Source organism: Homo sapiens, chromosome 2 (genome assembly GCF_000001405.40).
Source record: "Homo sapiens chromosome 2, GRCh38.p14 Primary Assembly".
In the NCBI taxonomy this organism is placed as follows: domain Eukaryota; kingdom Metazoa; phylum Chordata; class Mammalia; order Primates; family Hominidae; genus Homo; species Homo sapiens.
This window is the reverse complement of record NC_000002.12, coordinates 167,661,164-167,686,357: the sequence shown is the minus strand read 5'-3', so window position 1 is coordinate 167,686,357 and position 25,194 is coordinate 167,661,164. Positions and strand designations below refer to the sequence as shown.

The 25,194-nt window shown below is 38.2% G+C and overlaps 1 protein-coding gene across 3 annotated transcripts in view; it reads right to left on the bottom strand.

The window, feature by feature from the left end:
• B3GALT1 (beta-1,3-galactosyltransferase 1) overlaps positions 1 to 25,194 on the bottom strand; it is a 581,045-nt gene that overhangs the window by 187,688 nt on the left and 368,163 nt on the right. The window lies entirely within an intron of this gene.

Below are 25,194 nucleotides of genomic sequence, written 5' to 3'. Positions count from 1 at the left end.
AAAATCTTAAATAGGTGAGGTTTTTGCCTAGGTGGGAACTATAAAATCAGGTTCTAAATATGTTATAAAACTGTAACCTAGTATATAACTGTGGGTAAATGTGTGGGAATGTGGAGATGAATGTGGCACATGATTTTGTTAGTAAACCTAAATTTTGCATAAAGTATTAAAAGATTTTATTAAAATCAGCTGTTTATAAATCCTAGTGTACTATCTAATCTTTCTATCTTTAATTTTTCTCAAAATGAAATACTAAAAACAATGAGCAAGTCAAAGCAGGGTTAAAGAACTCTAACAGTCCTTCTCTTTGAATTCCAGGCTCACAGACTGACAGTCACTGCTTATTGCAAATAACTCTTGATCTTATTTTAGTTTTCAGTAAAGCAAACCAATAATAAATAAATTAAAAGTGACCTTTTTTATTTAAGTAAAGCAGGTAAAGTAAAATATTTAACAGGTTTAAGAAAGCAAACAAAACAGTGCGTGTCCTTAGCTGATTTAAATTTGCCTGAGAGACTGCCTTTCGGCTCCTTCCTCTAAGGAAAAAAGTAGATAAAAGAGCAGGGTTTGGGGGCCATTGAGCACGTGGCTACACTGCTTTAGAATTCTCTGATAGTATTCCACTGCAGAGAATAAAATCCAAACTCTTCACCTTGGTCCACAAAGCCTTATAAGACCTGGCCCCTGCTCTCTCTCTGACTCATATTCTACCTCTTGGGCATCACTCTCTATTCTCTACCTTCAGCCTGTTTCCATCCTTTAAATATGTCAGGCTCCTTTGTGCCTCAGGGCCTCTGCATCTGCTTGGGATTCTCTTCCTCAGATTCAGAGCTCTCAACTCCAATCACAGGCCTTTCCTGAGCTTCTTTGCTAAAGGCCTTCTCAGAAGCGCTGAAAACAATTTTAATACTTTGTTTGTTTTCCTATGTGCTTGTTTTCTATTTACTCTAACTAGAATAATGGATAGCTAGGCACTGTGGCATGTACCAATAATCCCAGCTCCTCAGGAGGCTGAGGTTGGGGGATCACTGAGGTCAGGAGTTCAAAACCAGCCTGGGCAACATTGCAAGACCCCATCTCTTTAAAAAAAGAATAATGGATAACATTCTTTTAGAACCATGCCAAGTGCTGTGTTTGACACTTATGTGCTTAATAAATATTTGCAGACTGACAGACTTTCAGGTTATTTTAAAGGGAGGCTCCATGGCAGTCTGAATTTGTCTAAGAACATTTGCAGCATCATTTTACAACTTACCAAGATTTCCATGTACAATATCTTGTTATATCCTTAGACTCTTGTACAATCTGAGAGGCAATTAAAGTAAGGTGACATTATCCTTATTTCCACAGTTTGGAGTAGGAAGTAGTTATGTTGGGACTCATTTTCAGATTTAAGTGGTGGTGGTTGATGTTGTTTATGCCCCTAACTGTCATGTGTCTATTTTTCACGAGCCCCAGGTGGCTATGATTAACTGATGGGACAGGAGTGTGGACTGTTAGCTGATCCTTCAACATGTGGCATCACTGCCATCTGATCTGACTGCCAAGCTGTTGCCATCACCATTAGGTACGAGTTACCTTTTCTTTCTTTAATATTCAAGTTAAAGAATTCCAATAATGAGAATTATTAAAATAATCTGCTTAGAATAAAGAGGAAAAATGCTATGTGGCTAAAGCCATTGGATTTTGATTAGTGTTACAAAATATCACCATAAAAACTTTTATCACATCCTAGGAGAACAAATGAGGCTTATATTTATCATGGGAGCAGGTATTTTTCCTGAAATATGAAGACTATCTTTTTGGACTCATGGAATCTCTGGGCTGGAAATCAGCTTTCTGGGGTAACAAAAATAGGACCAGAAAGGCATAATGATCTGAAAAAAGGTGAGAGGGTTAATTAGTAATAGAGCCAGGACCGAATGCAGATTGTTGCTGTCTGGCTTTCCAGACTATACAATTTATTCCTCTATTGAAATTAAATCAGACACTGGGTAATGTTTCAGGCTTGGAGGGAAGAAAACAGGAACATGGGAAAAATTTAGGTAATTTGTAGGCTGTGACTATATTCAGTGATTTTATTGAATAAACATACACAAATCATTGATTCACCTAGCAAATGTTTATTCCTTGCCTACGTTATTGGAGGCTCTTTTCTAGATACTGGGGGTACAATGGAGACTGCAGTAGCATTTCTCCCTCCAAGAACTCATAGTTAAATGGAGAGACTAACCAGTTAATGTGAAATTTTGATGCCTTGCATTAGGTGCTGTGATAGAGACAGGCTCTGGAAGACACAGAGGGTGTCGATTAACCTAGGTAGTAGAAGACAGAAAGGTTTGCTGGACCATATGGCTTCTAAGCTAACATGTGAAGGATGAGTAAGAAAGAGATTGGTGAAGAAGGAAAGTGTTCCAGATAGAGAGAAGAACATGGATGTCCATGTGAATGCATTAGTGTATCTTGCCATCCAACAGGGCCAAAACACAAAAAATAAAATAACAGTTATGCTTATTCTCCTAAGTTCTTTCGAAACATAGTTCCTCCTAAGGAATCACAAAAGGTACTTCAGAAGCTGGATTGTCTTTGATGTGTGTGTGTGTGTGTGTGTTTTCTTTTTAATTTTAATTTTAATTTTTGAGACAGACTCTCACTTTGTCACAGGCTGGAGTGCAGTGGCACAATCACGGCTCACCACAGCCTCGACCTTTCAGGCCCAGGTGTTCTTCCCATCTCAGCCTCCTGAGTAGCTAGGTCTACAGGCACCCACCACCATGCCCAGCTAATTTTTGTATTTTTTGTAGAGATGGAGTTTGGTCATGTTGCCCCAGCTGATCTTGAACTCCTGGGCTCAAGCCATCTGCCCACCTAGGCCTCCCAAAGTGCTAGGCATGAGCTACTGTGCCTGGCCCCTTGGATGTGTTTTATCTGGGCTATGACTTCATACCAAATCCAATGCCCTGGCAAAGTGGGCTATAGACAGCTTCCACTGGCTGGTACTGCAGAGGGGCAGGGCTTTATGAACTTTGAAGAAGACTACATTCATAGTTATTTTGATCACCCTGCACCTTCCTTGGAAGGTCTTTGGTGTCTACTGCCACCCTGTAATATAAAGAAGTACAGATATCCAGGAAGTACTGTACCTAATAATACTAACACACTGTCACAAATGATCATAAATATTCTATTCTTGCTCCAACTGCTTAAAGTATTTAGGGAATCTGTGCCTTGGTCAATGAACAACCCTGAAAATTAAAAGCAAGCCCATTGTTTTTCTAAAAATCTACATGTTTATGAGTCATCTTCATAATAAATCATAATAGTAATACATTAGAATTTCCTCCTCTAAGGGTAACCAGAAATAAATATTAATCAGAGCCAAAGCTGAACGCTCTGTATGATTTCTTTCAGTCTTGAACAATTGATGCATTCATTTCAGACAGTTGTCAAAAACTCACAGATTTCTAATTTTATCAAATCAGACAGTTACTTTGAGTATACATATTATTTCCTTCTTTCATTTAAAAGTAATTATGAAGAGCCATCCATTCCCTAAGGGCTCTACCGGGTTCTAGGGACATAGATTCCTATCTGCAAGGAATTTACAGCAAGGGGATAGAGGGAGAGACTAGGTGGGGAGGGCGGAAGTGGAGATGCTGCCAGGAAAGAAGGACACTAGGACAGAGGGCACCCCAGCCATGCTGGGCTGGATCCCCACCTCTACTCATCAGAATCAGAATCTCGGGACGGCTTGGCTTTGAGAATTTGCATTTTTAAAAAGCTCTTCAGGTTATTCTCACACATATTCAAGTTTGAGAATCTGCTGCAGTAATAGGTCATTGAAGACTTTTAAGCAAGAGAGGGGGATAATAGGTTAAACCTTTTAGAAGGAATGCTCTGTTAGCTGTGCAGAAGAGGGCAGAGCATTTTAACTTTGCAATGCAAATGGGACCATTGTGATAACATGGCAGCAGAAATTACGAGATGAGAGATGCAAAGATATCAAATAATATTTGGAATTTGGATGAAGAATTATTTTCATAGCTATTTGATACTTTTAATTCGTTGAAAGGTCATTATCTTATTTATTTTCTCTTTTGTAAAAGCTCATTCCATTGGATCAAAATGCCACAGTTAAAATATCAAACAAAAAAAGACAGTAAATTGGAGCTAGCCGGGAATAGACAGGGAGGATGCAACAGTCTAAGCAAGAGAGAAGAGGATGGACACCAAGGCAATAGGAACAGGATGGGGAGAAGTGAGTCATAGAACAAGGGGAAAATTAAAGGACATGCTCTCCAATTAGGTGGGAAAGGCAAGGAGCAAAAACAGCTGTGACATTTTCTTAAAAAAACAAAAATTCATTATTTTAGAATTATTGGAATATGGAACTGATTTAATATGATTTGCCTTAATGACATCACTTCACAGAAGTGGGACGATGGAAAGCAAGCCAAAAAAAGGACAGCTCAGCATAATTCTTCATTGTTCTGAAAACAGCCTGCACTACTGACAAAGGCTTTGTGTATCCTCTTTAGATTTAGGGCCTGCACGGTGCCATGAGCATCTTGGCTGTAGGATCCACATTCTTCTTATGTTGCTACAGTGACTTGCACATAATAGGCCCTACATATATGGGTTTAGAATATACGAACTCATTAATTAATTGTGATACTGATTGGAAGTAGCATTTTCTGGCTTAAAACAACTTCTAGAGAAACTTAGTGCATGCCTCTACTTTCGAACAAGGTGATATGTAAATCAACCACTGAAATCAGTTGTCTTCTTGCTATATTTTTACACTGGAAAATCCAAACGAAAGGTGCTTCAGTCAGTGACACAGTTATTTAGGACACTGTATATCATAGCAGGGACTAGTTTGAGTCTGAGATTCCCTGCATGAACTCTAGCAGATGGCTTCCAGATGTTTTGCCTGGTTAACAGCAACCATCAGTTTGACTTTGGAGAAATGACCTATAAGATTCACTGGGGTTGAAAGGATGGGGAGGTATTTCACAGACGATTTGGGTCATTAAAACAGAGATAGGGCAAAAATAATAATTTGATTTACAACAGATTTTTGGGATAGATTAAAAAAATATATATATATATCTGATGGCTGCAACTTCACTCCTTGAAAGCAAAATGCTATGCTGGGAGTTAATATTTCTATATCATGTGGCCCTCTCCCAAGCTGTGTGCTTGCTGCAGCGCGGTTGACATGAGCTCCTCTCCTCATTTCTATTCCATCCCCTTCCTAACCTCATTTCTGGTTATACAGAGCTCCTTGTCACAGCCTTTGTTGTCATGTTTTATGCTTTCTGGTTAAACAACAACAGTAATTATAGCAACCTTGCAATTACAAATTTTAAAAGAATTAATCAGCTTTAGAATTTTTTAAATGACTGGAACACATTCACAGAAAAAATTAAAAAGTGCCTTACTTCTATTTCTGATATCGGATCAGATTTTTGCAAATATGAGCAACTTACATTGCATGTCATTTTATTTTATCTATTTCATTTTATCAGAAGTATAATAAAAATTTCTTAATGGTTTCAGTTCTTTGAAATAAAAAAAAATTCTGCGCGAATAATCGGAGAGAATATGAGGAATGTCTCCAAGTCCTCATTCTAGTGCTACATTTTCAACAGCCTTGGCTTAGACAAATCCCTTAACCTCTTGAGATATCCATTTCACTTGCTAAAAACTACATGAATCACAAATAGCTAGCTCTTTCAGAATCTGTGAATTTAGAGAATGTTGGGAAAACAGTTTGACTACTTAAAAACAGGATAAAAATAGAGGGAATAGGTTTTTAGCTCCCTCCTACCAAAAAAAAAATTTGGTCATTAGAAAGGCTGCCTTCCCACTCTATGTCATGCAAACCACCAGGAGATTTTGATGTATACTTGTGAGTGCATACAAAGTTCTCTCTCTCTCTCTCTCTCAATCTGTTTCTCTATTTGAAATCTTTATTTCTGGATTTCAACACAAAACATTTTGACAGATTGACTTTTTGTTAATGACTTTTTACGTATCAGCTTACTGAAATGTAGAAACAAATCCCCCTGTCCTGGGCTTTTAGCAACGTGGTGACTCCAAATCACTGATGCATATTTATAAATCTCTTCCGTGCATCTGAAGCAAAGGTTTAACTTTCTACGTGATATTTTCCATTTACAAAATATTTATGTAGAACTAATCCTACATCAGAAGTGTGTGTTTGGAATGAATTACCAAAGTGAGAAAAGAAAGCAATTAGCATTTAGAAAATGCCAGGCTGTAAGTTTTCACCAAAGAGTAGTGGAAAAAAAAGTAACTTAGACATTGATACGGTTTATTAAGTAGAAAAAACCCATGTTTATGAACTGGAAAGACCAATATCAGATAACTCATTCTATCAGTAAAGGAAAACCATGAAATAAGTATATCACCAAAAGAAGTAAAATATCTAACAGAAAGTTGAGACATTTATTTTTAAAAAGCAGCCTCTGCCCGTAAGATAAATATGAAATTTAAAAGCAACTAACATTTGTTGAGTATATACTATGAGCCAGGCATTGAGTTAAGTGTTTTGAAGATGCTGAGGTAGAGACTATTAAAATTCACTTTTACATGTGAGAAAATGAATACTCAGAGATGATGGGTGACTTTGCTCACTGTCATTCAGTTAGTAAAAGACAGATCTAGAGGCTGATGGATTCTGAGACCCACAATTGTAACTACTGGGAGCTCTGATTTCTCATGACCTGGAAAATTCTCAGAGGCCACTACAATGTTCCGAATTAAGAACAATGTTGAAACCAGGTGCAGTAGCTCACGCCTGTAATCCCAGCACTTCGGGAGGCCGAGGTGGGCGGATCACCTGAGGTCAGGAGTTCCAGGCCAGCCTGACCAACATGGAGAAACCCTGTCTCTACTAATAATACAAAAATTAGCCAGGTGTGGTGGCACATGCCTGTAATCCCAGCACTTTGGGAGGCCGAGGTGGGCGGATCACCTGAGGTCAGGAGTTCCAGGCCAGCCTGACCAACATGGAGAAACCCTGTCTCTACTAATAATACAAAAATTAGCCAGGTGTGGTGGCACATGCCTGTAATCCCAGCTACTCAGGAGGCTGAGGCAGGAGAATTGCTTGAACCCGGGAGGCGGAGGTTGCGGTGAGCCGAGATTTTGCGCCATTGCACTCCAGCCTGGGTGACAAGAGTGAAACTCTGTCTCAAAAAAAAAAACAAAAACAAAAAAACAAAAACAAAAACAAAAAACAATGTTGGGGAAAAAGAAATGTAGTTATTGTGAACAGAAGAGGTACAAAAGAATAGGTATAAAAAGATTGGAAAGGTTCAAATTACATACAGTTAATTTAAAAAACTCCAAGTCTTTGGAAAAATAGAAATAGAAATAGAAGTGCATACATTACTCATTTTAAGATATTTTACAGGAAAAAAGCCACTTGAATATCATGACATGAAAATATACATTACATGAAGCAAACTGTCTACCAAATAAGCATGTTTAATATACTTACGTAAAGTGTATCCAGAAAACAATGATAAATCTATTAATTGAAATTACTTTAAAATCTTTTAAATTTTGATTACCATTTGAGCTGCAAGCTGCTATACTGTGATCTAGCCTTCTTAGTTTTATCAGTTTATAAGAAGGTAAGGAAAACTGGAAAATGGAAATTAATAGAAAAGCCAACAAACATTTAATACATTTTTGAGTTAAAGTTTATCCGTGGACTGAGCCCATGAAAAAATCACTCATTTGATTTTTTTCAACAGCATTTCTGAGTGGTGGGTATTGTAAGATGTATAAGATGGGGATGGTGCTTAGGGAGGTCACAGTGTAGAAGGCAGTAGGTGCTAAAAAAAATAATAAGGTGCAGTCATCTCATCAGGCAGACTACTTAAGCTCGGATTGTGATGCTCCCACTTCCTAGTCATTGAATAACCTTTGGGAAATTGTTTAGCTTTTTTGGGCCTCAGTTTTCTTATCTGTAAAATGGGGACACTATCAGTACTTATCTCATAGGATTATTATGAGGAAGAATTGTTAAAACGGAAAGTGGATCGAACAGCCCCAGTACAGTGGAAACTATCTATCAACAGCAGTTGCTATTATGAAACCTGTGATGGATGTCAGAATAGTGTGGAATGGGGACACAAAGATAGAAAGGCTAATTATCTAGGGATATGAAGGAAAACATCCCAGAGAGCAGATAGAAGGTGGGTAGGTATTTACCTGGGTGATTGGATAAGGGGGGTGATATGGTTTGACTGTGTCCCCATCCAAAATCTCATATTGAATTGTAATTTGAATTATAATCCGCACGTGTTGGGGGAGGGACCTCCTGGAAGGTGATTAGATCATGGGGTTGGTTCCCTCATGCTGTTATCATGATAGTGGATGCGTTCTCACAAGATCTGACGGTTTTATAAGGGGCTTTTCTCACCTTTACTCTGTACTTCTTTCTCCTGCCACCATTTGAATAAGGACCTGTTTGCTTCCCCTTCTGCCATGATTGTAAGTTTCCTGAGGCCTCCCAAGCCATGCAGAACTGTGAATCAATTAAACCTCTTTCCTTTATAAATTACCGAGTCTTGGGTAGGTCCTTATAGCAGCATGAGAATGGACTACTACACGGGGTCCAGGGTAGAGGGAGCAGTGAAAAAAAAATACAAAGGCAGGAGACATTCTGAGGCACTTGGTGAACTGCCCCTAGCAGGGCAAGGTGGGATGCTACAGTGTGAGGGTGTCTATAGTGATTGAGGGGTTCTGGGATCACAGCCTGGGGGCCTTATAGGGCCATGCTAAAAATCTTTCATGAATCTTGAGGTCAGCAGTTTCCTGAGAAAGAGGGTCCTGTGGAATTGCTTTAGCCACTGTGAAGAAAAGGTTAGAGTGGGATGGTGCTTACGCCAGTTCTAGCCAGAGCAAAACTGCTTTTATCTCTTTTATATAGTGTGTTTTCATGTAAGATTTTTATGTGAAGAAAAGAATCTGTTCCTTAAAAATAGTTTAAGTCTTATTGTGTATATTTAAGGTATACAATGTGGCAGTATGAGATGCATACATGGTGTTATGAGATATATACCCATCATTTCAGTTACCCATCTCCCCTGTAAGAACAGCTATAATCTACTCATTTCACAAAAATTCTGAATACACTGCTGTTAACAACAGTTCTCATGTTGTACATGAGATATTTAGACTTGCTTATTCTACATATCTGATACTTCATATTAATTGACCTACACCCCCTTTTTCCTACCCCTCACCCAGCTCCTGATAACCACTATTTTATTCTCTATCTATGTATACATATTTGACTTTCTTAAAAAACACTTGAATTTAAAATAAAAATCCACTGAAGTTTTTGATCAAGGAAGAAACAGGACCAAATTTGAATTTTAAAATAACTTTGAGAGTACTTGTTTAGTTACTTAGTAAAGACTATATAGAACTTATAATGTGCATACATGGTTCTAAACATTATAAATATTAATTATTGGGGCCAGGCGCGGTGGCTCATGCCTGTAATCCCATCACTTTCACAGGCCTAGGCAGGTGGATCACTTGAGGCCAGGAGTTCGAGACCAGCCTGGCCAACATGGAGCAACCCAGTCTCTACTGGTGGTGGGCGCCTGTAATCCTTGCTACTTGGGAGGCTGGGACAGGAGGATCATTTGAATCCAGGAGGCAGAGGTTGCAGTGAGCTGAGATTGCGCCACTGCACCCCAGCCTGGGCAAGAAAGCGAGGCTCTGTCTCAAAAGAAATGCATACACATATATATGTGTGTGTGTGTGTGTGTGTGTGTGTGTGTGTGTGTGTATAAACATACACGTGTGTGCATGTGTGTGTGTGTGTATATATATATAAGGTTAGATGGGAAGAGTTGATAAAAATTCAAGGCGTTCTCTCAACAACTCATCTGATGCATCTTTAGCTCTGAAAGCCTTTACGTATTCACTTAAAAAATAAACGTCACTGTCAGTACTTTCTGCTTCTCTGAAACCTTACATTTTTTTCTTCATATTTTTGTGAGTATAAATGTTAAAAAAGCAAAACAAAACAAAACCTTTGGGATAAAAAAGTTATTTATGAGTTTGCATGTTGCACTTGGTAAGAATTACTCATAAAAAGAGAGGGGAGTGTTGAGAACAGCGTGTGTGAGAGGAAGCGAGGGGTGCTGCAGCCTCTGGGAGAGGGAGGAGCAGCACAGAATCTGGAACCATGAGATTCGCTCCATCCTGCATCGGGAGGGGCGTGGTCTAGGCCCTTAGGGGGCCAACACAGGGTGGAAATAGTGGGTGATCCTGTGCCATGTGGAGAACCAGGTGTGGCTCTCAACATCCTCGGTACCATTTCTGGGAGCTGCTTTGGAAATCTCTGGAGATGGTTTTGGTAGTCACCAAAATGGAGAGGGTGCTACTGGCATTCAGTGGGTGGGGGCTAGGGATACTAGATACCCTGTAATATACAGAATATTCCTCGATCCTGCATGGGTTTCCATATGCACTCAGGTGAAATACCTGGCTGTAATTACAGAAGGCTGTAAACCTAATGTTTTCACATGAAATCACAAAGTATTTTTAAAAGCATGATTTTAATGTATATTGAATTTCTCAGTAGTGGAGCTACTGTGTAAAGAAAGGAAAGGCTGTATCTTGGTCAGAGTTTTTGGGGTTTGTTTTTGCTAGGAGTTGTTCACTGTTTTGGAAAATAACATCACAGGACAGTAACACTGCTCATAGCAGTTGAATTCCCATTCCAATCACCTGTATCAGTCTGCCTGTGTAGCTGCCACATTCACCATGAGCCGACAGCCAGTCTACCTCTGAACGATGCAAGTGTCTGATTATTTCATTATGTCACCACTGTCCTGCTCCGAGGCATTTATATATTTTTCCTTTAGATTGCATGTAGGTCACTCTATTTATTTCTTTGAAATAGTCTGTGCAGGTAGTTTATCTGAATTTCTTTGAGGAGAATACAGGTGTGTCATAAAATATTTGCTATAAAAATGGGGCTTGGAGTATGACAGCGTTGAGAGCCAATGTGACAAAGTAACATAAAACTGTTTTCAGACCACTCAGTTTCTCTTACACTATGGTGAAATGGGAACCCAGTTCATTTCTTGATTTGATTTTAACGTTTCCAAGTAGAGGCCATTTTAATTCACATACTGTGGAAAATTGAGGATGATAAAGCACACCAGAAGCAAGAAGACCCCTGTGTGTGCTAAACAAGAGCTCAGCCACCAAGGTGCACAGGGGCTCATCTGGGAAGTCCAGACCACAGTCCTGGGCAAGATGCTTAAGGCTGTTATGTGTCTGTAATTTTGGAAAACATACTTCCAGGGTCAGGTCCCATGCTGGCTGCTTGTCTTGAAACCCAGTCAAAAATAATTTCAGAAGGTGATATATTACAGTTTTGCCTTTTTGTATTGAAGAAAAAATATTTTAAAAATAATTTGATAATATATTTTATATACATATCACAAATATGCAACTATTCATCACATTTAATGTCAGATTTCCCAGTATTTAAAAATAGTCAGAATCCAAATTCTTAAAAAAATTTGTATTTCTTAAAAAACAGACAAAGCTTGATTTTTCTTCCCTGGTCCTTCATGTCTTTGACTTAATATTTTCATCAAGTACTTTTCAGTTTATCAATGCATTTGCCAGAGTATCATTTACATATGTCCAAAACAGGATGTAATAGGCTCCTTTGAGATACCTGGGTCTATACAACTCTGAACAAATTGAACTCTGGATGGACTATTTAGTTAAGTCATATGCTTGTTATTCTTTGAGAAAAGCTTATCTGAAGGTTGCATCAAAATGTTTTTCAGTCCAGACATGGCCCCTTGCCTTGTAACTAGCCATTTTATGTTACAAGTATACTTCTATTTAATATCTTGCTTACATGAAACAAATTGGGACATTTATTAAACATTTTTTTTCTGAAGTAAATGAAAAAAATGTAGTAGCTATAATGGGATAGGAAGCAGGGAGAGATGGAGACAAAGACCATGCTTTTCCATTAACTTTCCATTAATAAGCTAAAATAAATTCTTGCTTTATAACTCTAATGGGTATTTCTGAACAGATTGTTGGCAGGCACCATCTTAATAACAAGTAAAAATATTTGATTCACAGTTGCAAAGGCCCTAAATACAAATATAAATTTCCTCTTTTAATACCAATATTAGTTGTATTTAATATACACTAAATTCTGGTAACTACTAGTTCATGTAGATCCTGAGACCACTTGTTGCAATTTACTATGGTTGTGTATTTAATTAAAATAACAATTTGCATGAATAAATAGAATAGCAAAGCTTAACTGAGAACCAGTAAATATATAACTTCCAAATGATCTAACTATATGATTAATCATGCATAGCTAATGTTACAATAATTAGTGATTACTTTATATCTTTGTTCAGCAATGTAAGGAAGGGGACAAATTTTCTGATTAGTCAGAGGTCTGTGAAAATATTTCACCCCAAAAGGCTTTGCTAGATAGCTAACTGTATAAATCTAACTGTATTCCAAATATATTCTAAATATCTAACTAAATAATTCTGAAGTAGATAATTTTTTAACTGTTATGATTACTAATTGGATAATTTGGTATATTAATACTATCTTGAAAAGTATTTGTTTAAGACCCTTTTGGGTTCTCAATATAAGGATTTTAGTGTTGATTTTATAAATATATATTTATAAAATATTTGTTTACTATGGGCAAGGTAGTATGCAAACACTAATCTTATTCAAGTATATCCCTAAGTGCTTGGATCATTGGAAGTAAATGGGTAGAACTAAGGGATTTAATCTAATAAACAGCAATTTCTTTTTCCAAAGCTACAGAATCTAATAATTATCACCTTGATCTCTCAAAAGAGTTGGTGCTATTTTCTGTTATTTCAAGACCTAATTATTTTCTGCCTTTTCTATCTTTAGAAATTATGCATTTCTATCATTAAAAATAATGCATTTTCTATCTTTCAATTTTTTATTCTGCACATTAACAAGTACAGTGCTTTGGTTTATCGTTTATGACTCACAACAAGGTGATCAGAAACCTGCTTTTTAATTAACTTTCCTGTTTCCCTCTCATACTTCATGTCATCACCTTCTGCACAAAGCCATCTTTGAGATTTTCTGGTAGAAAGGAATCTTTCCCACCTTGATGCTCTATAACGTTCTCCCATGCCTTATCATAGGAATCACATTTTATCTACTATATCAACTCCTATTTCTCAACTCCTAATTGAGTCTACTTTTTGAGGGCTTTTTTTTTTATTTTGCACCTTTATTAGATACCCCCAGATACCCCCCTCCCACACACACACAGTCTCTCTCTCTCTTACACTCCTAGTCAATTTTCAGTAGAATCTACTGGTGTTTTACAGGCCTTCAATGAGGTCTGAAGAATAATTGCAGTGAAATTAATAGGTTTGCCATAAAATATAGTTATAATTATTCAAATTGGACAATCTGAGTCCCTTATCTATATTTATAAATTAGGGTTAGTACCTTGTGACCATTTCTGAGTTTATAAAATTAATTTATGTACAAATCTTATACAGCACTTACTATGTACCAGGCACTCTTCTGAGTGCTTTACAAGTATTCAATTATTTAATCCTTATTACAACCCTAAAGGTAAGTACTTTTGATTATCTCTACTTTATGAGTGAAGTGATTTGGCCACAGGGGGATTAGACTTTTGTCTAAAGTTGCACAAGTACATGGCAAAGCTGGCTTCACCCCAGAGTATCTGGCTCTTAATCACTGTATCAGGTTCTTTCTAAAAATCAGTGCAATTGTTATTTCCTCAGATCTTTTGAGTCTCATGTTGAGTCATGTAGAAGAAGGAATGAAGATGAACATCTTCCATTAGGGCTGTGCATTTTTAGGGCTAGATCAGAGGATGTAAACCCAAGCTTTTTCTTATTCCTATTTAATTTCAGTGTAGTACTAGCTTTCTTGGTACATGAAATGTTTTTAGTAAATTGAGAAAATAATATTTTAAATTTAGGTTGTGTTGGTATGCAGCTGGCACCATGGTTCATAGGGCTAACATGACAATATCTGAAAGGTAGATGGGGATCGTAAGGAGGGTGTCCATGAAATGAGGTAATGGCAGGTTTCTCCAAAAGGGAAGCTGGAAACTTTCTGAAAAATTTCAGGTTAAAATTTTTCAAATACATTATTTAGTTTGGAATATTTTTTAAAAATAACAGAAAAATTTCCATGACAAATTCAGCAACAGTGACAATACTGTGTTTCCAGGAATTTATCCATTTCTTCTAGTTTATCCAATCTATTGGTGTATGATGGTTCACAGAAGTCTTTTATGATCCTTTGTATTTCTGTGGTATCAATTGTGATATCTCTTCTTTAATTTATGGTTTTATTTATTTGAGTCTTCTCTTTTTTTCTAAAAAATAGTCTAGCTAAATGTCAATCTTTTCAAAAAACCAACTTTTAGTTTTGTCAATCATTTTTATTTTTATTAGTCTCTAATTTATTTTTGCTTTAATCTTTATTATTTCCTTCCTTCTGTAATTACTTTGTGCTAAGTCTATTCTTTTTTTCCCTAATTCTTTGAGCTTTAAAGTTGTTTATTTGAGATCTTTCCTTTTTCTTTATGTAGGTGTTTATCACTGTGAACTTTCCTCTTAGGAATACTTTTGCTGCATCCCATAGTCTTTCCACTTTTGTTTGTCTCAGGATATTTTTAAATGTCATTTTTGACTTCTTCTTTGACATATTGTTTAGGTGTGTGTTGTTTAATTTCCACACAGTTGTAAAATTTCCAGTTTTTCTCTTATTGATTTGTCTTTTTATACCATTGTGGTTAGAAAATATATTTGATATGATTTCAATCTTCTTAAATTTGTTAAGACTTATTTTGTGGCTCAACATATGATCTAAACAGGAGAATATTCTCTTTGCACTTGACAATAATTTGTATTCTTTTGCTGTTGGATAGCATGTTCTGTATTTGTCTGTTAGGTTCATTTGGCCCACAGTGTTATTCCTCCCACTGTTTCCTTATTGATTTTTTTTCTGGATGATCTATACATTTTTCCATGGGGGTTATTAAAGTCCCCTAATACTATTGTATTGCTGTCTATTTCTCTCTTCCATTCTGTTAATATTTGCTTTGTATATTTAGGTGTCCCAACATTGGGTGCATATATAATTGTTACATCCTTTGTCATTATATGATGACCTTCTTGGTCTTGTCACAGTTTTTTACTTAAAGTCTATTTTGTCTGATAAAAGTGTAGCCATCCCTGCTCCTTTTTGGGTGTCATTTGCATGGAATATCTTTTCCATCCCTTCACTTTCAGCCTATATACATTCTTTCTCTCTCTCTCTTCCTCTGGAACTCCCATAATTTGTATATTGGTTTGCTTCATGGTGTCCTAAAATCGCAGAAGCTTTATTCACTCTTCTTCATTCTTTTTTTCTCCTCTGATTGAATAGTGACTTGTCTTTGAGTTCACAAATTCTTTCTTTTGTTTAATTTAGCCTGCTATTAAAGCTCTCTATTGTATTTTTTATTTCACTTACTCTATTTTTCAGCTTCAGAATTTCTGTTTGGTTCTTTTTCATGATTTCTATCTTGTTAGACATCATTTTATTTGTATACTGTTTTCCCTATTTCATTGAGTTATCTGTGTTTGCTTATAGCTTGCTAAACTTTCTTAAAACAATTATTTTGAACTACTTGCCAGACAGTTCATAGAGCTCCACTTCTTTGGGGTTGTTACTGGAAAATTATTTTATTACTTTGGTGGTATCATGCTTCCTTAATTTTTCTTGTGTGTATGTTCCTTGAAATCTTGCATTGTTGTTTTTGCATTTAAAGACGCAGTCACCTCTACCAGTCTTTATTGACTGGTTTTGGGAGAGAAAGACTTCTACCATCAGCTTGGCTAAAGACTTGGAGGTCTCAGACTTTTTCTATGGGTGTGCCTACTCTACTCTCCTTTTTCCTCTTTGGAAGATAATTCTTAGGATTGCATGTTTTCTCTAAATCCTGAAAAGCTAGGGTGGGGCTGATAGCCTCCTGTTTATTTTTCCTAGGGTAGTGCTCTGAAGTGTTCCAGGTTAGACACCTTCTTCCAACCTAGCAGAGTCAAGCCTGTCTGTATGAACTCATGCACAATCTTCAGAGGCTCATAGGCACCATCAGTTAGTGTACACACAGGATGCCAGCTGTATAAGACATGCAGAGTACTGAAAGCATGGATAGGCTAGCTTGGAGGGAGTCTGCAGGTGATGTATCCTCTGAGATTTTTCAATGAGCCTCTTCATGAAGTCTCTCAGGTAGTTAGAATCTGCGGCTTGTTGTGGAGTTCTGAACCCTGGTTTCTGTGAGCCCATGCCCCTTTTCACTGCTCCTAGCTGCCTACAGACTATTTAGCTGTGTTTATCCCCTCAGTGTTCTGGGTGGGGTGAGAAATTGGCGGGCTTCTTGGGCAGTGTCCCACATGGCTTGGGAAGCCAGGCACTGTCTCATTTTCCCTGATAAGATAAACTGTAGGCCAAGGGGGTCTCTCTTATATATATCATCTATAGATGAAAAAAATTGGTTATCTTCTCAGAATATGTTTTTCAAAGAATAAAATATTTGAAATACATTTTACATACATTTCTAAAGTGTAAATGTACAAAATATATGATAAATTTTAGATACATTTCTTTTTCCTCAATTTGATTAAAGCCAAAAGCTAAATTTAATGATTGATATTTTCCTATAAAGTATACATATACTTCAAAATCATGATGATTTAAAACCATTCAATAAATTCCACATTTCATATTTCACACTGGGAAATTCCTTGAATTGTCCATTATTCCTCTCCATATCTGATTTCTTCGTTTCTTGGGAAAACAGAGAAAAAAACCAGACCATATTCAATATAACTTGAAACTCTGTCCTCAAGATATCTTGAAACTTCAAGAACTTATTTGAATTTTGCACTTTGAAAATAAATTTTGATTATAATATCCATTACTTATTTTCATGAGTTTCAAATGATGCCACTAGCCTACCCTGAAACTTATTATGGAACCATTCAATAAGTATACATCAATAGCCCTTATGAAGCTTTTGTGACATAAGAGGAGAAAAAAACAGTAAAAAGTATGTCTTCATTCAATTCTGTTCTTAGGAGGAGTGAAGGATACAGACCACAACAAGGAATTAATATATTAGAAGCTACATGTTTTGCGGAAAAAATAAGAGAAAGATAAAGAGAAAGGCAGTAGAATGGGGAGGGAGGGGGACAGCAACTTTATATAAAGAAGGCAGAGGAGGCCTCATTGGAAAGTGACATTAGAGAATGGGATAGGATGGCCAAATAGGAACAGCTCCAGTCTATAGCTCCCAGCGTGAGCGACGCAGAAGACGGGTGATCTCTGCATTTCCATCTGAGGTACTGGGTTCATCTCACTAGGGAGTGCCAGACAGTGGGCGCAGGTCAGTGGGTGCACGCACCGTGCGCGAGCCGAAGCAGGGCGAGGCATTGCCTCACTCGGGAAGCGCAAGGGGTCAGGGAGTTCCCTTTCCTAGTCAAAGAAAGGGGTGACAGACGGCACCTGGAAAATCGGGTCACTCCCACCCGAAGACTGCTTTTCCGATGGGCTTAAAAAACGGCGCACCAGGAGATTATATCCCCCACATGGCTTGGAGGGTCCTAAGCCCACGGAGTCTCGCTGATTGCTAGCACAGCAGTCTGAGATCAAACTGCAAGGCGGCAGCGAGGCTGGGGGAGGGGTGCCCGCCATTGCCCAGGCTTGCTTAGGTAAACAAAGCAGCCGGGAAGCTCGAACTGGGTGAAGCCCACCACAGCTCAAGGAGGACTGCCTGCCTCTGTAGGCTCCACCTCTGGGGGCAGGGCACAGACAAACAAAAGATAGCAGTAACCTCTGCAGACTTAAATGTCCCTGTCTGACAGCTTTGAAGAGAGCAGTGGTTCTCCCAGCATGCAGCTGGAGATCTGAGAACGGGCAAACTGCCTCCTCAAGTGGGTCCCTGACCCCTGACCTCCGAGAAGCCTAACTGGGAGGCACCCTCCAGCAGGGGCAGACTAACACCTCACGCGGTCGGGTATTCCAACAGACCTGCAGCTGAGGGTCCTGCTGTCTGTTAGAAGGAAAACTAACAAACAGAAAGGACATCCACACCAAAAACCCATCTGTACATCACCATCATCAAAGACCAAAAGTAGATAAAACCACAAAGATGGGGAAAAAACAGAGCAGAAAAACTGGAAACTCTAAAAAGCAGAGCGCCTCTCCTCCTCCAAAGGAACGCAGCTCCTCACCAGCAATGGAACAAAGCTGGACGGAGAATGACTTTGACAAGCTGAGAGAAGAAGGCTTCAGAAGATCAAATTACTCTGAGCTATGGGAGGAAATTCAAACCAAAGGCAAAGAAGTTGAAAACTTTCAAAAAAATTTAGAAGAATCTATAACTTGAATAACCAATACAGAGAAGTGCTTAAAGGATCTGATGGAGCTGAAAACCAAGGCTCGAGAACTACGTGAAGAATGCAGAAGCCTCAGCCGATGCGATCAACTGGAAGAAAGGGCATCAGCGATGGAAGATGAAATGAATGAAATGAAGCGAGAAGGGAAGTTTAGAGAAACAAGAATAAAAAGAAATGAACAAAGCCTCCAAGAAATATGGGACTATGTGAAAAGACCAAATCTACGTCTGATTGGTGTACCTCAAAGTGACGGGAAGAATGGAACCAAGTTGGAAAACACTCTGCAGGATATTATCCAGGAGAACTTCCCCAATCTAGCAAGGCAGGCCAACATTCAGATTCAGGAAATACAGAGAACACCACAAAGATACTCCTCGAGAAGAGCAACTCCAAGACACATAATTGTCAGATTCACCAAAGTTGAAATGAAGGAAAAAATGTTAAGGGCAGCCAGAGAGAAAGGTCGGGTTACCCTCAAAGGGAAGCCCCTCAGACTAACAGCTGATCTCTCAGCAGAAACTCTACGAGCCAGAAGAGAGTGGGGGCCAATATTCAACATTCTTAAAGAAAAGAATTTTCAACCCAGAATTTCACATCCAGCCAAACTAAGCTTCATAAGTGAAGGAGAAATAAAATACTTTACAGACAAGCAAATGCTGAGAGATTTTGTCACCACCAGGCCTGCCCTAAAAGAGCTCCTGAAGGAAGTGCTAAACATGGAAGGGAACAACCAGTACCAGCCGCTGCAAAATCATGCCAAAATGTAAAGACCATCGAGACTAGGAAGAAACTGCATCAACTAACGAGCCAAATAACCAACAATCGTCATAATGACAGGATCAAATTCACACATAACAATATTAACTTTAAATGTAAATGGACTAAATGCTCCAATTAAAAGACACAGACTGGCAAATTGGATAAAGAGTCAAGACTCTTCAGTGTGCTGTATTCAGTAAACCCATCTCACAGGCAGAGACACACATAAGCTCAAAATAAAAGGATGGAGGAAGATCTACCAAGCAAATGGAAAGCAAAAAAAGGCAGGGGTTGCAAACCTAGTCTCTGATAAAACAGACTTTAAACCAACAAAGATAAAAAGAGACAAAGAAGGCCATTACATAATGGTAAAGGGATCAATTCCACAAGAAGAGCTAACTATCCCAAATATATATGCACCCAATACAGGAGCACCCAGATTCATAAAGCAAGTCCTGAGTGACCTACAAAGAGACTTAGACTCCCACACATTAATAATGGGAGACTTTAACACCCCACTGTCAACATTAGACAGATCAACAAGACAGAAAGTCAACAAGGATACCCAGGAATTGAACTCAGCCCTGCACCAAGCGGACCTAACAGACATCTACAGAACTCTCCACCCCAAATCAACAGAATATACATTTTTTTCAGCACCACACCACACCTATTCCAAAATTGACCACATAGTTGGAAGTAAAGCTCTCCTTAGCAAATGTAAAAGAACAGAAATTATAACAAACTGTCTTTCAGACCACAGTGCAATCAAACTAGAACTCAGGATTAAGAATCTCACTCAAAACCGCTCAACTACATGGAAACTGAACAACCTACACCTGAAGGACTACTGGGTACATAATGAAATGAAGGCAGACATAAAGATGTTCTTTGAAACGAACGAGAACAAAGACACTACATACCAGAATCTCTGGGATGCATTCAAAGCAGTGTGTAGAGGGAAATTTACAGCACTAAATGCCCACAAGAGAAAGCAGGAAATATCCTAACATCACAATTAAAAGAATTGGAAAAGCAAGAGCAAACACATTCAAAAGCTAGCAGAAGGCAAGAAATAACTAAAATCAGAGCAGAACTGAAGGAAATAGAGACACAAAAAGCCCTTCAAAAAATTAATGAATCCAGGAGCTGGTTTTCTGAAAGGATCAACAAAATTGATAGACCACTAGCAAGACCAATAAAGAAAAAAAGAGAGAAGAATCAAATAGACACAATAAAAATGATAAAGAGGATATCACCACCGATCCCACGGAAATACAAACTACCATCAGAGAATAGTACAAACACCTCTACGCAAATAAACTAGAAAATCTAAAAGAAATGGATAAATTCCTCGACACATACACTCTCCCAAGACTAAACCAGGAAGAAGTTGAATCTCTGAATAGACCAATAACAGGATCTGAAATTGTGGCAATAATCAATAGCTTACCAACCAAAAAGAGTCCAGGACCAGATGGACTCACAGCCGAATTCTACCAGAGGTACAAGGAGGAACTGGTACCATTCCTTCTGAAACTATTCCAATCAATAGAAAAAGAGGGAATCCTCCCTAACTCATTTTATGAGGCCAGCATCATCCTGATACCAAAGCCGGCCAGAGACACAACCAAAAAAGAGAATTTTAGACCAATATCCTTGATGAACATTGATGCAAAAATCCTCAATAAAATACTGGCAAACGAAATCCAGCAGCACATCAAAAAGCTTATCCACCATGATCAAGTGGGCTTCATCCCTGGGATGCAAGGCTGGTTCAATATACGCAAATCAATAAATGTAATCCAGCATATAAACAGAACCAAAGACAAAAACCACATGATTATCTCAATAGATGCAGAAAAGGCCTTTGACAAAATTCAACAACGCTTCATGCTAAAAACTCTCAATAAATTAGGTATTGATGGGACATATCTCAAAATAATAAGAGCTAACTATGACAAACCCACAGCCAATATCATACTGAATTGGCAAAAACTGGAAGCATTCCCTTTGAAAACTGGCACAAGACAGGGATGCCCTCTCTCACAACTCCTATTCAACATAGTGTTGGAAGTTCTGGCCAGGGCAATTAGGCAGGAGAAGGAAATAAAGGGTATTCAATTAGGAAAAGAGGAAGTCAAATTGTCCCTGTTTGCAGACGACATGATTGTATATCTAGAAAACCCCATTGTCTCAGCCCAAAATCTCCTTAAGCTGATAAGCAACTTCAGCAAAGTCTCAGGATACAAAATCAATGTACAAAAATCACAAGCATTCTTATACACCAATAACAGACAAACAGAGAGCCAAATCATGAGTGAACTTCCATTCACAATTGCTTCAAAGAGAATAAAATACCTAGGAATCCAACTTACAAGGGATGTGAAGGATCTCTTTAAGGAGAACTACAAACCACTGCTCGAGGAAATAAAAGAGGATACAAACAAATGGAAGAACATTCCATGCTCATGGGTAGGAAGAATCAATATCGTGAAAATGGTCATACTGCCCAAGGTAATTCACAGATTCAATGCCATCCCCATCAAGCTACCAATGACTTTCTTCACAGAATTGGAAAAAACTACTTTAAAGTTCATATAGAACCAAAAAAGAGCCCGCATTGCCAAGTCAATCCTAAGCCAAAAGAACAAAGCTGGAGGCATCATGCTACCTGACTTCAAACTATACTACAAAGCTACAGTAACCAAAACAGCATGGTACTGGTACCAAAACAGAGATAGAGATCAATGGAACAGAACAGAGCCCTCAGAAATAACGCCACACATCTACAACTATCTGATCTTTGACAAACCTGAGAAAAACAAGCAATGGGGAAAGGATTCCCTATTTAATAAATGGTGCTTGGAAAACTGGCTAGCCATATGTAGAAAGCTGAAACTGGATCCCTTCCTTACACCTTATACAAAAATCAATTCAAGATGGATTAAAGACTTAAACGTTAGACCTAAAACCATAAAAACCCTACAAGAAAACCTAGGCATTACCATTCAGGACATAGGCATGGGCAAGGACTTCATGTCTAAAACACCAAAAGCAATGGCAACAAAAGCCAAAATTGACAAATGGGATCTCATTAAACTAAAGAGCTTCTGCACAGCAAAAGAAACTACCATCAGAGTGAACAGGCAACCCACAAAATGGGAGAAAATTTTCGCAACCTACTCATCTGACAAAGGGCTAACATCCAGAATCTACAATGAACTCCAACAAATTTACAAGAAAAAAACAAAGAACCCCATCAAAAAGTGGGCGAAGGACATGAACAGAGACTTCTCAAAAGAAGACATTTATGCAGCCAAAAAACACATGAAAAAATGCTCACCATCACTGGCCATCAGAGAAATGCAAATCAAAACCACAATGAGATACCATCTCACAACAGTTAGAATGGCAATCATTAAAAAGTCAGGAAACAACAGGTGCTGGAGAGGATGTGGAGAAATAGGAACACTTTTACACTGTTGGTGGGACTGTAAACTAGTTCAACCATTGTGGAAGTCAGTGTGGCGATTCCTCAGGGATCTAGAACTAGAAATACCATTTGACCCAGCCACCCCATTACTGGGCATATACCCAAAGGACTATAAATCGTGCTGCTATAAAGACACATGCACACGTATGTTTATTGCGGCATTATTCACAATAGCAAAGACTTGGAACCAACCCAAATGTCCAACAATGATAGACCGGATTAAGAAAATGTGGCACATATACACCATGGAATACTATGCAGCCATAAAAAAATGATGAGTTAATGTCCTTTGTAGGGACATGGATGAAATTGGAAATCATCATTCTCAGTAAACTATCGCAAGAACAAAAAACCAAACACCGCATATTCTCACTCATAGGTGGGAATTGAACAATGAGAACACATGGACACAGGAAGGGGAACATCACACTCTTGGGACTGTTGTGGGGTGGGGGGAGGGGGGAGGGATAGCATTGGGAGATATACGTAATGCTAGATGATGAGTTAGTGTGTGCAGTGCACCAGCATGACACATGTATACATATGTAACTAACCTGCACATTGTGCACATGTACCCTAAAACTTAAAGTGTAAGAATAAGAATAAAAAAAGAAAATACAATAAAAAAAAAGAAAGTGACATTAATGCAGACTTGGAGAAGACAAGGCAGTCATATGCATATATATCTTTGGAAGAGCATTACAGGCAAAAGAAACAGCAGATGCAAAATTCCTGAGACAAAATTGGTATGTTCTAAGAACACCAAAGGGGTCAATGTAGCTGGAGAGGAGCATGCAAAGGAGAGAGGTGATACGAGATGAAACCAGAGAGGTGGGGCCCTACAGACCATTGTATGGTCTTTCACTTTTCCTCTATGTCATATGGGGAGCCATTGAAGGCTGTGAGCAGAGGAGTTACATAATGCTGTGATGTTAACAGGATCTTTTTGTCTGTTACAGTGGAGAATAGACCTTAAGGGACAAGGTGGAAGCAGGGAGGTAGTAAATCGGCTATTATAACAGTCTTTGGGAGACATGATGCCATTCCATACTGGTGCCAACTGGGCACTGATTGTTGGAGGGGATGACAAACTTAGTTTTTCACACCACAGCATTAGGGGCAGTGGGATGTTGATGATGTGGGAGGCTATGCAAGTGTGGGGACAGAGGGCATATGAAACATCTCTATACCATCCTCTCAATTTTGCTGTGAAACTAAAGCTGCTGTAAAAAGAAATCTTAAATAAAATGAGAAACCACAATCAATCATGGCTTAACTATTGAATTACTAAAGAACAGGCTATTTATATACAAAAAAAGTACTTGTGGACAAGCATCTGGATGACAAATATTTTCATGTGATGGAAACCATTCATGGGGCAACAATAATGTTATTATAACAATATTTTTATTTGAATTATACCACAGAATTTGTTGTTTCTCTTTGTTGTAATTCTCTGTCTTGCTGAAAAACTTGCTGCTTTTTTTTTTTTAACATCTCTGAAAACATATACAGGATCAAGACAGAGTCAAAAATAAAGAAAGTAGATTTTGTATTCTTTTGGAAGTTTCTTCACATTTCTAAAGGTTTTATTTCTCTTTACAGAAAATGTCCCAGAGTGAGATAGGTATATGCTATCCTACTTGTCTTCAAACCCACCCCTGACACTTAGTTATCTCATAGTGTAGCTTCATGTTGTGATATTGAGTCCGGAACCTGAAAGCATCTGTTTTACTGCTTTTATGGTTTTTCTATAACCCCTGACTAATTTATCCTTTGGTTTCATATTTGATCATTATAATCACATAGATGAGAACTAATTCTCAAAGCACCTTATTCTCTCAGGGCATATTTAACTTGGAAAAGAGCAATCCAGAACAATTATTCTCAACCAGAGGTGCAATTTTGTGCCCCAGGGGACATTAGACAATGTCTAGAGATATTTTTGGTTGTCACTTTTGTGGAGATGGGTGCTTCTGGTACCTAGTGGCTAACAATGCTGCTAAACACCCACAGTGCACAGGACGGCTCCCATCTAGGTAGAGTATCTAGTTCCAAATGTCAGTAAGTTAAGTTTGAGAAACTTCTCTTGAATAACAGTTTAGAATGGAGTGGCTACCATTCTAAGCAGGCAGAATTTTCATCAGTTTGAAGAAATCAGCCTCTAAAGACTGGTTTTCTTGGGGCTAGAGACAGTTAAAGCTGCTCCATAATGGGCTTTTCCAAAGAGTAACTCAAGCATCAGTTCAGCACCTACCATAGTATATAATAGAAATTGCTTTCTGGCTTAATACATCACAAAGAGCTATAAAAGCATCTTCAATAAAATACTAACAAGATTTCACACACTGTAATTGAGGGATAAGAGGGTGACAACGTTGCCTCCAAGATTTAAAGGAATAT